The sequence below is a fragment of the Homo sapiens genome, chromosome 12 (genome assembly GCF_000001405.40).
Source record: "Homo sapiens chromosome 12, GRCh38.p14 Primary Assembly".
Taxonomy (NCBI): Eukaryota; Metazoa; Chordata; class Mammalia; order Primates; family Hominidae; genus Homo; species Homo sapiens.
Window position 1 is genome coordinate 39896681 of NC_000012.12, and position 17412 is coordinate 39914092.

A 17412-nucleotide genomic window follows, 5' to 3' on the forward strand; every position below is an offset into this window, starting at 1 on the left:
TCCCTCGTTATCTGCAATTTAAGACTTCAAGTATTTTATAGTATACCCTAATAAAACATCTTGCAGTTTCTATTATATTTTTCACATAATCAAAAGGTTATAAAAGTTGCATATATTTAAGTGAGAAACTAATCATTCTGTCAATAGTGTGACAAAATATGTACAATTTTTATAGCTAGAATCAAGTTACATGTATAGTGAAAACACGTGTCCTTTTCCCATTTAGTGGAATTTGAACTTCCCAGAGAATGAAGTAGAAATGTAATAATATGGCTTCACTTCTCTAACTTTTAACCAGGGAGGTGAGGGGTTTAGTAAAAGAAAAAACACTGAGGAAGAGACCAACAAGTTCTAACCCTTAGTTCAATGCTTATTTTCCTGAGAACAAACTAGTTGATGGTTATTTCTAGTTGATAGTTCTTTCTTTATCATTGTTCCTGTGAATTAAGAAACTTCTAGAATAAGAGATTTATTCTGCCTTCTGGTTAATTTTTCTAGGACTCAATCTTTCCATCCATGAAAAAAGAGGATTTTGAGTTGAAACCTACATGACTAGCACATGTTAAAACACATTAGGTCAAACAGTTTAAAAGAACGTGGTTATGCTGTTGCAAGCCTGCACAGACTATCTGAAAGATAAGCTCAAGCAGAGCTCCATATTTTGAAATCTCACTACCCCTTCTTTAACAGACAGCTGTCATAACAATTCCCAACTGCCTACCCCAAGCATGCAGAAAAAAGATGCAGCTATTCCACTGCTATAAGTAGGATGCAGATGTTTCAATGTTTCTACAGGGAATTGTTATTGGACTACAACTTCTAATTCAAAGGTTAGGCACCACTGTGTAATCGATCCCTGTGTGGGGATGGAAATGTTTTTTATCTGCTCTGTCCAATGTCCAATATGGCAGGAACCAACCACATGCAGCTCTTGAGCACTAGAAATATGGCTAGCATACTGAGAAGGTGAATTTTTTATTTTATTTAATTTCAGTGAATTTTCATTTAAATTTGCAATTAATTGGCCTAATGGAGTAATATCTTCACTGTAGAGAAACTTAGAAAACAAAAAATATTTTAAAAAATCATTTTCCTTCATTTACTTTTAATCATTACTTACATTTGTTTGAAGACTTTTTTCTATAATATTTTCATAAATCACAAAATGTATATGTGCATATTTAAACTGAATACATAAAAATACAATATATAAGACATTTTTATGTAGATCTATGAAATATAAGAATTTTGAATTCTTCTACAATAATACATGTAAGTTTATTATATGCTTGGCACATAATAAACACTTAAGAGATGTTATCAGTTATTATTAATCATAACAATTATTTTTAATGACTGAATAGTACATCATTATATTGAGGAGGCTTTAGCAAACAATCCGTTGTTGGGAATATAATTTTTGTTCTTATTTAAAGCCTTCTGGTGAACATACATGTACAGCTTTCCATTTGTAGAAGTATTCCCTTAGGATAAATTTCTAGAAGTAAATATGATGGGTTTAATGTCTCTTTTTAAGACTATAGATACCTATTATCAAATTACTGCACAGAAAAGAACCAATGAAAAGAAGAAACTCTTTCGAAAATATAAGACAAGCCTTATACACCCACATGCCCAAAACATTAGGGTGAAGCATGGATGGTGATGAATATGATACAATGGGAATGTTTAGGTTCTACAAATCTCATGCTAGAAAATCCTTGATTTACCTGTAAAGTAAAATAACCAGTGTTTGTGTGTCCATTTGGAGAATGACATACCATATTCTGCCACTCAGTAGTTCTATAGTAGCCACGCTTTTCCCCCCTCTATCATTGAACAGATTACTATTCCTTCAGCTAAACACCAGGCAAAATAGCTGGCTTGTCTTTAGGGACATTTTTATTGTAACATCTGTGTCTTCAAATTGAAGAATCAGACTCAAGTTAGCCTGATACTCACACTATGAGAGACATACAAGGCATTGAGACCTTATGAGAAAACTGCAGATTGCAATCTCCCATTTGACTGCTCAATCTGGGGCATGTGTTCATGGAATGGAACCAGAGTCACCCACACTACTTACATCTCTCTCAATTATTCTCTCACAGCATGAACAAATTAAATGTGCAAATGGGGTAACTTCACACATTTTGGATGTTTAAATAGGATATTTAGCATGTTCTTCACCCTTGTATATAAAATGGAAAATGGAAGAAAAAGGAAAGGAGAGAAGGAAAAGAAGAGTGATCTAAAATTCTCTTTTTTCGTTGTGTCTCTGCCTGGCTTTGGTATCAGGATGATGCTGGCCTCATAAAATGAGTTAGGGAGGATTCCCTCTTTTTCTATTGATTGGAATAGTTTCAGAAGGAATGGTACCAGTTCCTCCTTGTACCTCTGGTAGAATTCGGCTGTGAATCCATCTGGTCCTGGACTCTTTTTGGTTGGTAAGCTATTGATTATTGCCACAATTTCAGAGCCTGTTATTGGTCTATTCAGAGATTGAACTTCTTCCTGGTTTAGTCTTGGGAGGGTGTATGTGTCGAGGAATTTATCCATTTCTTCTAGATTTTCTAGTTTATTTGCGTAGAGGTGTTTGCAGTATTCTCTGATGGTAGTTTGTATTTCTGTGGGATTGGTGGTGATATCCCCTTTATCATTTTTATTGCATCTATTTGATTCTCCTCTCTTTTCTTCTTTATTAGTCTTGCTAGCGGTCTATCAATTTTGCTGATCCTTTCAAAAAACCAGCTCCTGGATTCATTAACTTTTTAAAGGGTTTTTTGTGTCTCTATTTCCTTCAGTTCTGCTCTGATTTTAGTTATTTCTTGCCCTCTGCTAGCTTTTGAATGTGTTTGCTCTTGCTTTTCTAGTTCTTTCAATTGTGATGTTAGGGTGTCAATTTTGGATCTTTCCTGCTTTCTCTTGTGGGCTTTTAGTGCTATAAATTTCCCTCTACACACTGCTTTGAATGTGTCCCAGAGATTCTGGTATGTTGTGTCTTTGTTCTCGTTGGTTTCAAAGAACATCTTTATTTCTGCCTTCATTTATTTATGTACCCAGTAGTCATTCAGGAGCAGGTTGTTCAGTTTCCATGTAGTTGAGCAGTTTTGAGTGAGTTTCTTAATCCTGAGCTCTAGTTTGATTGCACTGTGGTCTGAGAGACAGTTTGTTATAATTTCTGTTCTTTTACATTTGCTGAGGAGAGCTTTCCTTCCAACTATGTGGTCAATTTTGGAATAGGTGTGGGGTGGTGCTGAAAAAAATACTGGCAAACCGAATCCAGCAGCACATCAAAAAGCTTATCCACCATGATCAAGTGGGCTTCATCCCTGGGATGCAAGGCTGGTTCATTATATGCAAATCAATAAATGTAATCCAGCATATAAACAGAACCAAAGACAAAAACCACATGATTATCTCAATAGAGGCAGAAAAGGCCTTTGACCAAATTCAACAACCCTTCAGGCTAAAAACTCTCAGTAAATTAGGTATTGATGGGACGTATCTCAAAATAATAAGAGCTATCTATGACAACCCCACAGCCAATATCATACTGAATGGGCAAAAACTGGAAGCATTCCCTTTGAAAACTGGCACAAGACAGGGATGCCCTCTCTCACCACTCCTATTCAACATAGTGTTGGAAGTTCTGGCCAGGGCGATTAGGCAGAAAGAAATAAAGGGGATTATATTAGGAAAAGAGGAAGTCAAATTGTCCCTGTTTGCAGATGACATGATCGTATATCTAGAAAACCCCATCGTCTCAGCCCAAAATCTCCTTAAGCTGATAAGCAACTTCAGCAAAGTCTCAGGATACAAAATCAATGTGCAAAAATCACAAGCATTCTTATACACCAATAACAGACAAACAGAGAGCCAAATCATGAGTGAACTCCTATTCACAATTGCTTCAAAGAGAATAAAATACCTAGGAATCCAACTTACAAGGGACGTGAAGGACCTCTTCAAGGAGAACCACAAACCACTGCTCAATGAAATAAAAGAGGATACAAACAAATGGAAGAACATTCCATGCTCATGGGTAGGAAGAATCAATATTGTGAAAATGGCCATACTGCCCAAGGTAATTTATAGATTCAATGCCATCCCCATCAGGCTACCAATGACTTTCTTCACAGAATTGGAAAAAACTACTTTAAAGTTCATATGCAACCAAAAAAGATCCCGCATCGCCAAGTCAATCCTAAGCCAAAAGAACAAAGCTGGAGGCATCACGCTACCTGACTTCAAACTATACCACAAGGCAACAGTAACCAAAACAGCATGGTACCGGTACCAAAACAGAGATATAGATCAATGGAACTGAACAGAGCCCTCAGAAATAACACTGCATATCTACAACCATCTGATCTTTGACAAACCTGAGAAAAACAAGCAATGGGGAAAGGATTCCCTATTTAATAAATGGTGTGGGGAAAACTGGCTAGCCATATGTAGAAAGCTGAAACTGGATCCCTTCCTTACACCTTATACAAAGAAATTAATTCAAGATGGATTAAAGACTTAAACGTTAGACCTGAAACCATAAAAACCCTAGAAGAAAACCTAGGCAATACCATTCAGGACATAGGCATGGGCAAGGACCTCATGTCTAAAACACCAAAAGTAATGGCAACAAAAGCCAAAATTGACAAATGGGATCTAATTAAACTAAAGAGCTTCTGCACAGCAAAAGAAACTACCATCAGAGTGAACAGACAACCTACAACATGGGAGAAAATTTTCGCAACCTACTCATCTGACAAAGGGCTAATATCCAGAATCTACAATGAACTCAAACAAATTTACAAGAAAAAAACAAACAACCCCATCAAAAAGTGGGCAAAGGACATGAACAGACACTTCTCAAAAGAAGACATTTATGCAGCCAAAAAACACATGAAAAAATGCTCATCATCACTGGCCATCAGAGAAATGCAAATCAAAACCACAATGAGATACCATCTCACACCAGTTAGAATGGCAATCATTAAAAAGTCAGGAAACAACAGGTGCTGGAGAGGATGTGGAGAAATAGGAACACTTTGACACTGTTGGTGGGACTGTAAACTAGTTCAACCATTGTGGAAGTCAGTGTGGCGATTCCTCAGGGATCTAGAACTAGAAATACCATTTGACCCAGCCATCCCATTACTGGGTATATACCCAAAGGACTATAAATCATGCTGCTATAAAGACACATGCACACGTATGTTTATTGCGGCATTATTCCCAATAGCAAAGACTTGGAACCAACCAAAATGTCCATCAATGATAGACTGGATTAAGAAAATGTGGCACATATACACCATGGAATACTATGCAGCCAGAAAAAAGGATGAGTTCATGTCCTTTGTAGGGACATGGATGAAATTGGAAACCATCATTCTCAGCAAAGTATCGCAAGGACAAAAAACCAAACACCGCATGTTCTCACTCATAGGTGGGAATTGAACAATGAGAACACATGGACACAGGAATGAGAACATCACACTCTGGGGACTGTTGTGGGGTGGGGTGGGGGGAGGGATAGCATTAGGAGATATACCTAATGCTAAATGACGAATTAATGGGTGCAGCACACCAGCATGGCACATGTATACATATGTAACTAACCTGCACATTGTGCAAATGTACCCTAAAAATTAAAGTATAATAATAATAAAATAAAAATTAAAAAAAAGAAGAGTGAAAAGATATGTACATACACATGAAGAGAACTATTTTTAAACTTGAAATGTGTCTTCTCTCCCTATCAGTGTGCAATGTTATTTCAATACTCAGTTCATACTTCTTGTAATAAATTAAACAGTGGCATATCTCTGATATACACCATGGAAGATCTCATGTTTTTAAGCACTACCAGGTGTACTAAAAATAAAATCACAAATGAGAAGAAATTATCTTGTCCTCACAAAAGTGAAATCTAGAAAAAGATGTGTCTAAAGTAGTTTGAACATTTCAGTGGTAAAGGCTAACTTTTTCTTTTTGCACTGCCTTATAACTAAAATATCCCAAATGCGTCACCTTCATTTACCTTTAGACACTAAGATTAAAAAAAGATATAATGGGATTTAAATAATTTTATATTTACATAGTTTATATAGTTTTAGTTATCTACTATGAATGAGGTGAGTGGCATAGCAGTCTCACATTCAAACTCAAAGAAATAAGCAACCAGGAAATAAATTCTCTTAAGAAGTCATTACCTTATTCCTTATTGAGTTGCATCTTATTCCCTGTTGAGTTGCACACAAACTGTTGACTACGTTCCAGGAAATGTTTGTTCATAAAAAGCTAATCTCCTTTCTTCAAGGTGATGGAAAGTTAAATTACTGTGCTCAGGAGATGAGTAATATGAGTATGACTCAGAATTAAAAGGCCATAGGAACATCGTAATAATGAGTCCAATTAGTGAGTCTAGATAGGAAAACAAGGCTGAAATCTAAATTGGTCTGATAGGCATAGGCCTAATCATACAGAAAATCTGAATAGCATTATGAACCTGAATATTACATCTATCCTATGAATTTAGATACAGGACTTCACTGGAATACAAAAAGAGGATTTCAGAAATGGGCACTAATCTATGTATGGGGTACTTTAATCAAAATGCTATATCTGACAGATTAGCTATTTCAGGAAGCATTTTTCCAAAAGGTGTACAAACATTGAAGACATATTCATAAAATTTATCAGGTAAACTAGTGATTCTTACTTGATAGGGGTAATGGGAGTAGTAAACATCTGCTGTGATTCTGGCCCCCCAGTATCTCTTTACTCAACTTCTGAAAAATGCCATTCTAGGCCCTGTGTTTTTGGGAAGAGTGAGGGAAGCTCATGACAAGATTCTGGGGTCCCTCCGTATGTGGTACAGAGGTAGGTACGTGGCAAAAACCAAACTCATGAGTTCTAGTTTTCAACTCTGGCTTTTCCCTCTTGGAGGGAAAATGTGAGCCTAGGGCTTCTACAGGCATCTTCTGATAACAAGGATATATATAACCAGCAAAGAAGCAGCAGGCCCCAGAAATGGAGACATCATTTGAGCTGTGCATCCAACTGAAGCAAGCTCTATTCCTAGATTGTTCAGTTATGAGAATCAAATAATTCCCATTTAGCTTAAGTTTTCTATCACTCAAAACTAATGGGTAGGAAAAGAAGGAAGATTGAGTGGCCTCTTATATTTACTGGGGACGTGATGAAGCAGCCTATCAAACTGGACTGATATCCCTTGGAGTCTCATATTTGGACTAAAGAACAACAGACAGGATACTGCTATTTATCAGATTTCCTGCAGCTACCTAACAGCTTGCAATCTAGATTCTGTCTGTGTCGGAGGTGCCCAAGACCACCCTCAGTCTTACTGATTATACACAGGAAAAGAACACAGAGCAAAGGTCACAGGTTCAGGTGGTGAAGTTGAGGAAGCCAAGCCCAAGCTTCCAAGGGTTTCTACCATTGGGTTACACAGGATGCACTTCTTTCTTTAGCAATAATTTGTGGCAAGAAATGTTGTTTACCAGGGAAGTTCATTAAAGATTCAGTGCCCAGGGTTTTTACTGGGGGCTAGTCGTAGAAGCACCTTCTGCCCAGCATGTAGCCAAATGGAAGGCAGATGTTCAGCAGAAACCACATTGTAGTTTAGACACAGTGAACCACTCTTGCCATTTAGGAAAAGTTTTATATCAGTGTAGGAAACTGTTGATTATTCAGTTCTCAAACTCCAGGCAAAAGCAAACCTTGTGAGCAGGTCTTTCTAAGGACAGTAGTCCCAGGCCTGCCATGTTAACTGTTTTCTGCATATTGCCTTTCTTATGGTATACTTCAAGACCTTAACTTAGGACACTCTCTCTTTCATATGCCAACTGCCACTTGCCACCTTCCATGGAGAAAGCTCTTGTTTACTGGACTGGATATCCACACAGATGTTGCAGATGAGTTTAATGTCCTATCACGTGCCTTCTTCTCATGGAAGACAGAGCTCATTTCAGGTTCCAGCCTGTCCTTATATGCCCTGCTTTGCTGCAACCAAGTAAACTAGACTACAAGCCACAGGGGAACTAGAAAATGTTCTATTTATTTTAATATCTGGACTTCTAAGTGCATGCTACTTCTTTAGTGCATATTTGTTGAATGAATACCTATATCCCAAGATGGAAATGTGCCCTGCCCCTGGATGAACAGGTCTTCTGCATTGCCTCGTCATTGTGTAGCTGCTCCCTTGAACATGGTACATGCACACACACATAAGGCATGCCACTTTTTGATACAGACGTGCAGGCAAACTATCCCAATCTCAACTGTAGAATGGCTGCTTCAGTTGCTAGAGCTAAAACTAGTTTACTGCTTTAGTGACAAGCCACCAAATTAACTTGAAGAATGCACAAATATGCCCACAGAATGAGACTTCTGTTCATATGAACAATTTTAAAATCAGAATTTAAAAACCAGAGTAACTTGCTGGTCCTACTGTGAACAACTAAGAAAAATGCTTTGTTTTTATAATACTCTGAACACTGTACTAAAGAAAAGTGATGAGCATTTTGGTGGCTAGAAAATCTACCTAGAACACACCCTGCATTCATCATCTCTGTCTTGCTGCTCTGGCTGCTCTCCACAGATCCCAGATGTAATCTGCTCATAAACAGCCTGTAATACTGCTCATCCAAGCTGCACAGTGCGCTGTGGGCCTGGCAACCTTCCTCTGTGGGAAGCATGGCTGCAGATGACTAGCTGAAAATAAAACTAAACTCCAGGCTGAATGTATCATCATGATTTTAATTAAGTTTCTAGAAGAGTTGCTTCATTTTGTGGCATTTTTCTCTTTCTCATTTACAAATATGGTCTAAGAATACTACCTTTAAGTAAATAAGGCATTTTGAATCAAAGTACAGTAAATGTGTATGAGTGAATTTTCCTCATTATTAGTCTTGCAAATGCTGCTGATTTTAATATAGGATGCTATCCTTTAAGACATCTTATGTCTATAAACATTAATATTTTAAAACATGCTACAGAATCACACAGCTAGAGAAATCTCAGGAAGCAATCATGTATATCTTTTTAACCTAAAGAAAAAAGTCTGCCACAAATTGAAACAGGCCTTCAAAAGGTACTAGGCCTTTATTAAAATGCCCAGAAAAAAAAAAAAACTACACTTCTATGGATAACTTATTCTACTGTCTCTCACAGATGAGATGTCCTTTGAAAATTTTAACACCTCTTTAGCTGTGACTAAAAATTTCTGTCAGGTTACACTATATTTGGTATAAAAAGTATATTCCTAATTTTGTTTCCCTATTGAAATATAACAGCTGATTAAGAGGACTCTCATAATCTGTAAAACACCATAAATGCTAAAAACATGACAACTTTATCACGATAGACAAACTTGTTTGTAATAAAATTCACCTATGTTGGACAAAATCTAATTCTTGCAGATACAGAACTTTGAACTTTGTTTTCAACTGAGTTCATCTTAGCACAGCTTCCTATAGGTTTAATAATCCCAATTTTCAATTCTTGAAGTCAGTAATTCCAACTATCATTTATTAGGAAAGAAATTGAGGCTATGGGCAAATTACTACCTGAATTATTACCAAATCACTGTGTGAATAACTAGACAAGCTTGTAAACTAAATTTCATCAGAAGTCAGTCATTGTCAGTCCTCCTGCTGTTTATGGGGATTGCCTTGATATGCACATTTATATGTACACATGCATACCTACACACAATAGATATGAAAGTCACTAGATAACTTTCCCCAGTGTTATCCAGGGGAAAGTTACAGCATTTAACACACTTGTCCACTGAAATATGAAACTTGAAAAAAACAGTTTCAACTTGAAAGAAACAGTTTTAACTTGAAAGAAACCATTTTATTTCATCAGTTTCTGTGAAAGTTAAACCTAGTTTTCTGTCCTGCTGGGTCTATACTTGGTTGTATGTTTCCAGGCAACCAAAAGGATGAGGATGGGGTGGAGGCAGAAAATCTCAGTTGCATTATTCAGGCCATGTAAATATTAAATCAATTACTAAAATTCTTATTAAAGTGAGAGCTACTTAAATGTGGGGGATTCATAGGTCTTCTACGATTATTTTAAATTGAACGTTGATAAAGTGGAGATGGTGACAGTAACATTTTTGCCCAATATCCCTTGAAGTATGAAAACAGGCAAAACAATTATGAGGGAAGATAAAGTAAAAAAACTTTGTTTTGCAAGGTCCATTAGGAAGCAAAATATATTTTTATTTGATTCTTTTTATAAATAGAAAAATCAGTTGCTCCAATTTTTGTCTCTTAGATTTTTTCCAGTGTATATAGTGAGTTATTTATTAGAAGATACAATGCAAATTAACCCATAAATCAATTTATATAAGTAGAAGTTTGACTGTATTTACATGCTATCATATTCATGCTTAATTAGTTGTAGTTACTACATTTTAGTAATCCTTTGTAATTTTCTTTGTATTTCAAAATAACACACAAATCTTCTAAATAAGAAAGCCACTTATTAGCTCTTACAAGTAGAGATTTGTATTTAGTCTTTCAAATATTTTCACTTCCATGATAATCCACCCACATGCAAAATGATGAAAGAGAACATATATGTATTATTCATAGATGTAGTGAGCAAATTTAAATTGTTCATGCTGATTTTCCTAATTTTCTCAATGAAGAAAGAGAAAATATTTTTTGAGTTTACAAGCCAATCCATAATTTATAAGACTCCAAAAATCTTTTTGTGTAGCACTCAAGAAGAGTTTTCTACAGAAAAATGGACCTCAGTGCCCTAGGATTCCTACAAAACTCTATCAAAACCATAATGTACCTGATATATACTACTAATATAGAATCTGCCCATAATGTAGAGTGATGTTTTAATGGAAAAGTATGTTAAACGATGATCTAATTTTGAGTGTTAAGATTACAATTCCTCTACCCATAGATTACAATTCACCTACCCATTACTTTGGAAATAGAATGAGGTGCATCTCACCAACCATCCTCCTGCAGAAAGCCCTCTGACCTGTGAAACAGGAAGCTGTAAATGTCTGGAAAGTATGTGGATTGGACACATGTCTTGGATTAAATTATCTTACACGCCACTGGAATGAACCTGCCTGATTCTCCACTTTCTCTGCTTCATTCTGAGCGTTCTTGCCTCCCCTGGGTACTGGAAAGAGAATGGAGCCTTAGAATCAATGCTCCCAACCCACCCATTCTTTTTCCCGGCACTTTCCACCTTTACAACTACGCCTCCAAAAGTTTCAGTCTATTGCAGCTATGGTGGGAGCCACATAGGAACTTCTCAGGGATGCAAAATTCATGAACCACAATTCCCTGGCCAGAAGAACCACATAGACTTATCTATTACCAGGATCGGAGAGAGCGGGCCCCTTTCTTCCTAGATTTCACTTTTTCTCTTAATTTATTCTGACAATGAGGAGACAGAAAAAGCTGCATGATAGTGATGTAGAGTCTAATGGTGTATCTCTGGATACACAAAGAGCCATCTCAGGTAACAACTTTAATCCTTGAAATGAGACTATTATCTTCCTGTTAATTATTCCATTATTTCCTAATGTTTTTAATAATAAAACCCCCCAAACAACTACAAAGAGTTAGGAGCTTGCTCTGGGGTTATGAGTACAGAGACTGTTTTCTTCCTGTTAATTATTCCATTATTTCCTAATGTTTTTAATAATAAAACCCCCCAGACAACTACAGAGTTAGGAGCTTGCTCTGGTGTTATGAGTACAGAGGAAACTGTGTGGCTGCATTTTGTTCCTCAGAACCCGAGGAAAAAGAAATACCTGGAGCTGAAGCAATAGATTGTGTTAGTAGAGAAGGAGAGAAAGGAGAAGAAAGGCAAGGCGGGGAGGGGAGGGGAAGAAAGCCAGGATGTGGCTGAGGAGGATGAGGAGGGGCAGAGGTGAGATGAAAGTCATAAGGAAGAAACTAGGGATGCAAAAGTACCAGGATCCTGGTGTTAAGAGTTTGATGGTGGTAAGCTGGGTTTTCACTCTCACCCTTATATCCAGACCCACACTCTTCCTTACACCACAATTACTGTCAGGTCTTGAGCATAGAGGTAAGGTAAAAAGCAGGGTTTGGTATTTGGGAGGACCAGGAAAACAGACCTTGTATGAAAAGCATGAGGAAGATGGAAGGCAACTCTATGGGGCAATTCAGAACGGGCACTTAGCTGGTAATATGGCCTGAACAGTTATTGATACGTGAAGAATACAGACATATCAGAGATGGGCTATATCAGGATTTAAAAAATTAATAAGCATAAAGAAAGAGTTTTTTTTTACTTGATTATATTTAAAAGGGTATAATTTCATGGGAGCAGAGGCAAGTTGTGCTCACAAGGAATACAGTGACATATATGTATTTTTCATGTTTGGAAACCTCCAGGATAGAGATTAATAACAGTTGAAAAAATGAATATTTTGCATTCAATTTCCAAATAAAAATTAAATAATTACACTACAATTTTTCTATTATACACTGTTGTGAGGTCTAAATGTACAATACTTCCTAATCATATAATTCTTTTATAAGTCATTTCTTATTTCTAAATTCTATCTTAAATAGGCTTTCTTCTCTGAATCAGTTTTACAGGGTGAGGAGGATGACATTTACAATGGGACTAGCAAATTCACCAAATAACAAAATATGAACAGCTTGCATTTGTCAATAAGGTGGAAAAAAAAATCGCCATTCAATTTTTCTGGATTTGGTGCTCTTTGTTTTGCCTACCATGAATATTTCAGAAGAATATGTTCATCTTTAATTTATTGCCATAGTATTTCAGAACACTCATTAAATACATACAGACCTGTTATAAACATGTCCAGAGTTATCAAAACACAATGTTGGCTTTATGAATAAATGCAAGTCTTTATGTAGAAATGAAGATTCTGAAATAAGGTGAATGTGAAACAGCCTAAGCTGTGAAGTCATGGTAGTCAAGGGGATCTGATTTTTAATTTCAGCCCCCACTAAGTGTTCTGCACAGAATAATTTATTTAATCTAAGTTGTTTAAATGGTGCTAGTGAGACATATAGGATTTTACTGAGAATTAAACGAGAAACAGTAGGTAATTTGCAGTGTGGGAACTCAATGAGTTATCCGTTTTCTTTTCATTACTCTTCTTACAGTTTGTTTTTTTTTTTTTTTAAGAGAGTAAATAACATAGAGTGTGCCTCCCTGGATACACAGGTAATCCATAAATGTTCCCATTCAACTCCTAGTTCCGTGTTCCCAGGTGAAAGTAATAAATAAATCATAGATATCTTTTTTAAAAAAGTACTACAATTTTTACCTTTTTAAGAAGGGTCCTTAGATACATTAGTGTTATTTGACTCTCTCAACAGCCCTTAGAAGAAGAACTAGAACCCTGTCCCCTGCTTCCTCGTGCAGGACTATCTACTGTGTCATGTACAAACACATTTCCATCTTGAATAATCAAATGAAGCACAAACACCCTAGCAACCCTAGAAAGTGCTACTATTTATTATGACATGCATGTCCATCTTTAATAATGGCTGTATTTTAATAAATATATCTGTATCTTTATAACTTAACCATTTCTCTGAAGCAAAAGGTCTTTTCTTCTATACTTACAGATGATAAACTATGCATTGATGCTCTAACCACCTATGTGGTAAAGTTAATACTTGGAGAAAAGTCAAGGTTTTTTTTGAGGATATAACCATTGTCAAGCTGCCTATGTGTTATAGGTGAAGCTTTGATAAGTCTAAGGAATTTTTTTCAGATGTAACCATTGCCTGGCTTTAATATATGAATACATTTGGAATACTAATGGGCTTGCCTCCTGTTAGATGGATATTCTCTTCTGTTCTCTTGCATTCCATCTGTTATGGCAGAGGAAATCAACAGCCTTGGGAACCCACAGAAAAAGTGGACAGCTGCAGGACTCAGGTTCTAATTTCAAGAAGTTATGATTCACTAAGACTTTCTGATAGGAAAAGCATTCCCTACTACAACCAGAGGGGCTATGTATGACTATATGTGTGGTTTAATTAATTGGTTAGGCAAAGGGAGGATAACATGGCTAAAATTTTAAATTTTAGTCAGAAATGTAGGCCAGGTGTGGTAGCTCATGCCTGTGATCCCAGCACTTTGGGAGGGTGAGGCAGGTGGACCACGAAGTCAGGAGTTCAAGACCAGCCTGACCAATATGGTGAAACCCCGTCTCTACTAAAAATACCAAAAATTAGCCAGGTGTAGTGGCAGGTGCTTGTAATCCCAGCTATTCAGGAGGCTGAGGCAAGAGAATCGCTGGAACCTGGGAGGTGTAGGTTGCAGTGAGCCAAGATCGTGCCACTGCATTCTAGCCTGGGCAACAAGAGTGAAACTTCCTCTCAAAACAAAACAAACAAACAAAAATTAGGTCAGAAATGTTATCTCATCAATCTCTCAAGAGCTTAAGTTACTTTGCACTCTAATATGTGTTCCTGCTAGACACAGCATTTAACAGAGTGAACATGAAAATGTTGGCCTTGGCAAGAACACGACTATATTTATCTTAAAAAAAATGAGTTTTTAAAAATTAATACCCACGCTTTGCTTAAGTGAGCTGGCTTTGGAATACCACCAATGTCTTTTTCACTTAAGACTATTTTAAGTTCAACTATTTTGTTGTTTGGTCACTAAATGTAACGATTGTTTTTGTCACAGTCATGTATCTTATTTTGTTGTTTTAGGATACTGTAATCTCATCCTGTTGTCTATCTCTATGATAAACAGATTTAATACAAGTTAGAGAACAAAAGAAAAAAAGTGTCGGGGAATCATAAAAGGGGATTTAATACAGGCTTTACCCTTCCTTGGCTTTTGTTTCAGCCTGCAACTGACATTGCTTTCAATGTAAGTACAGTACCCCAAATTCACATTTTTCCCCTTATTTTTCTGAATGCATCAGGACAAAGTCTGTTTCCACTATCTTTTGCAGTGTTGGTGCCCTTCCCAGACATAGGCTCTGAGAAGTTTCTGAGTATCAAAGAAATTACTGACCACCAAACTAATAGGAAATATAAAATTAGGTTCCTTTAGCTGGAAATTCAATGAGCCAAAGACGGTGGGGGTATGTCTAAAAATTAGGAGAGAACAGACAGGGTAGGAAAGGAATTAGAATCAAAGAAGGTGAGCAAGACACATTGCCAGGATGCTTTCAGATGGACAGTATGGTTTGTTTATGTAGTAATCATTATGAGAGCTCCCTGAGCTTGCTTCTTCAGAAATTCAGGGCTGATTCTGACACTTACCACACAGCAGTCTCTTCTGACTCCCATGAGGGCTGGAAGTAGGTGCTGAACCAGATTTGGAACCAGGTAGAAATGGCCCAGGACCACCCTGATCCTCAGCTCCTCCACTCAGTTCCTTTTTCCCCACAATGATCAACCTTCCTAGGAATTCAATAGATATAATTTTCCAAAGGTTCTGATCATTTATAGGCTAACAGACCACATATATAATTGAGCTTCCTAGATGTTCTCTTTAAAATTAAGGATGTGCTTGATAATCATCTGTGAAAACTCTCTCAGCATTGACTGCCATTGGCATTCACATCCCATAATAATAGTAAATAATAATAATAATATATTCTGTGAGGACTATCAATTCTGGACAAGAAGGAAAACTACCATGGGTAGTCGGATTACTTTCCCAGCCAAATCCCAGAGATACTACAAACAATATGGGATCTTGGCAGTTTTCAGAACCAAACTTAGCAAATAAAACAAACACTACAACTACAGCCAAGAAACCTTGGGGAAGCAGGAAGAAGTTATCCTAATATCCTAATATGGATAGAAAAGTTATAATCGAGGAAGATTCAGTAGCCACAGATTAGGGATGGATTGGGAAGAGCTCTCTAGTTGGCCTGTTTTTCTCTGAGTTGCCTAGTAAAAATATCACTTGCCCAGTTATTATAATGAGAAAGCAGCAGAACCTGTTCAGTGCCATCCAGAAACTACATGGCAATATCCTGGCAGCTCTGGAGCCCTGCCATAGTGTGGGGCCATTGCCAGGAACTGCTGATCTGGCCTCGAGTATCCTCTGCCCCTCCCTGCTGTGTCTTGTGTAAACGTTAGTAGGCAAAGATTTTTGTTGACTTTCTTTTCTCAGGTCTAGGACAAGTACGTGGCCTACATACAACATAGCCGTTGAACAAATGAGTAAAGAAACAGAATAGTTTTATATGTGACCACAGATTTATGGCGTAGGAAGAAGTACTAGTGGCTTCTTTGTCTTATAAAGTATATCACATAATGATGAGTCCTCTTTGAAAGATATCTTGAAAGATGTGTTCCAACAAGAAGAGAAGTGCATTCCAGAGAAAGCCAAGAGATAAGGTAACCAATGGAGAGTAAATACCTTAGTAAATTTATTGTTACCTGAGTAAGCAAAAAACATATAGAATGAAAACTCCAGATGATGCCAACATGAAAGAAAAAGAGATCATAGTAGAGGAGTGAGTTGAAAGACTACTGAGGTTTCTTATTGCAGGGGAAGACAGATTAACTTTTACACATTGGAAGAAAAAAACAAATGCAATGAATCTTAAGTTAGAGATAAGAGAACAATAGACCTTGTAACTTAAAAACAAAAAGTTTAAAATCTGAGTTGTCAACATGACAGAACATAGAAAAGATCGAAAAAATAAACAATAAAGTACGATGAATAAAAACTAAAATAAGATGGGAGAAATAAGCCTCCATACAATAATAAATACAATAAGCATATATTTTTCAAATTTAGTCATCAAAAGACTGATTTAGATTTGATTTACAAAAAAAAAAAATCTAGCATTAAATTGTCCACAAAAGACAAAGAAAGGTTGATGGAAGAGATGGACAAAAAATACATAAGTATTAACCAAATGAAATATTAAGTAGCAATTTAAATAGTACAGTAAGCAATTTCAGGAGAAAAGATACATAATTTGTTCATAAGAATAATATATTAATAAGATATAATACTAGTAAGTATACATACATGTGATATGTAACTACTAACTGACAGAAATGTGGGGAGAAACATATAATCTTTCATTAGAAATTGTAATACATCTTTTAGAAACGTATCAAGTAGAAAAAACTAAGCCAATATGAAAAGAATGTGAATGACACCAGTAACAATCTAAAATATATGTATATACAGTAAAAACTTTATCCAATAAATCTTACTCATTCCTTTCAAGAATATATGAATATTTTATGTATTAGACCACAAAGGACGTCTCAAAAAAGTCTCCAAAGAATCAACCTATGCAACCTCTAAGTAAAATTCAATACAATTTTAAATTAGTAATAAAAAGGAATCTAAAAGCATGTCAGGAAAAAAATAGTTAAATGAACTCACAGCTAAATA

General features: G+C 36.4%; 2 protein-coding genes across 9 annotated transcripts in view; one reads left to right on the plus strand and one right to left on the minus strand.

Annotated features, from left to right (window-relative positions):
* REDIC1 (regulator of DNA class I crossover intermediates 1) overlaps positions 1 to 11620 on the plus strand; it is a 282118-nt gene extending 270498 nt beyond the window's left edge. Inside the window, exon 19 of the transcript NR_135051.2 lies at positions 10954 to 11620. The gene's annotated coding sequence lies outside the window, so the exon portion shown is untranslated. The remainder of the gene's footprint in view (positions 1 to 10953) is intronic.
* The window catches only part of SLC2A13 (solute carrier family 2 member 13), a 351057-nt gene that overhangs the window by 141656 nt on the left and 191989 nt on the right, over positions 1 to 17412 (minus strand). The window lies entirely within an intron of this gene.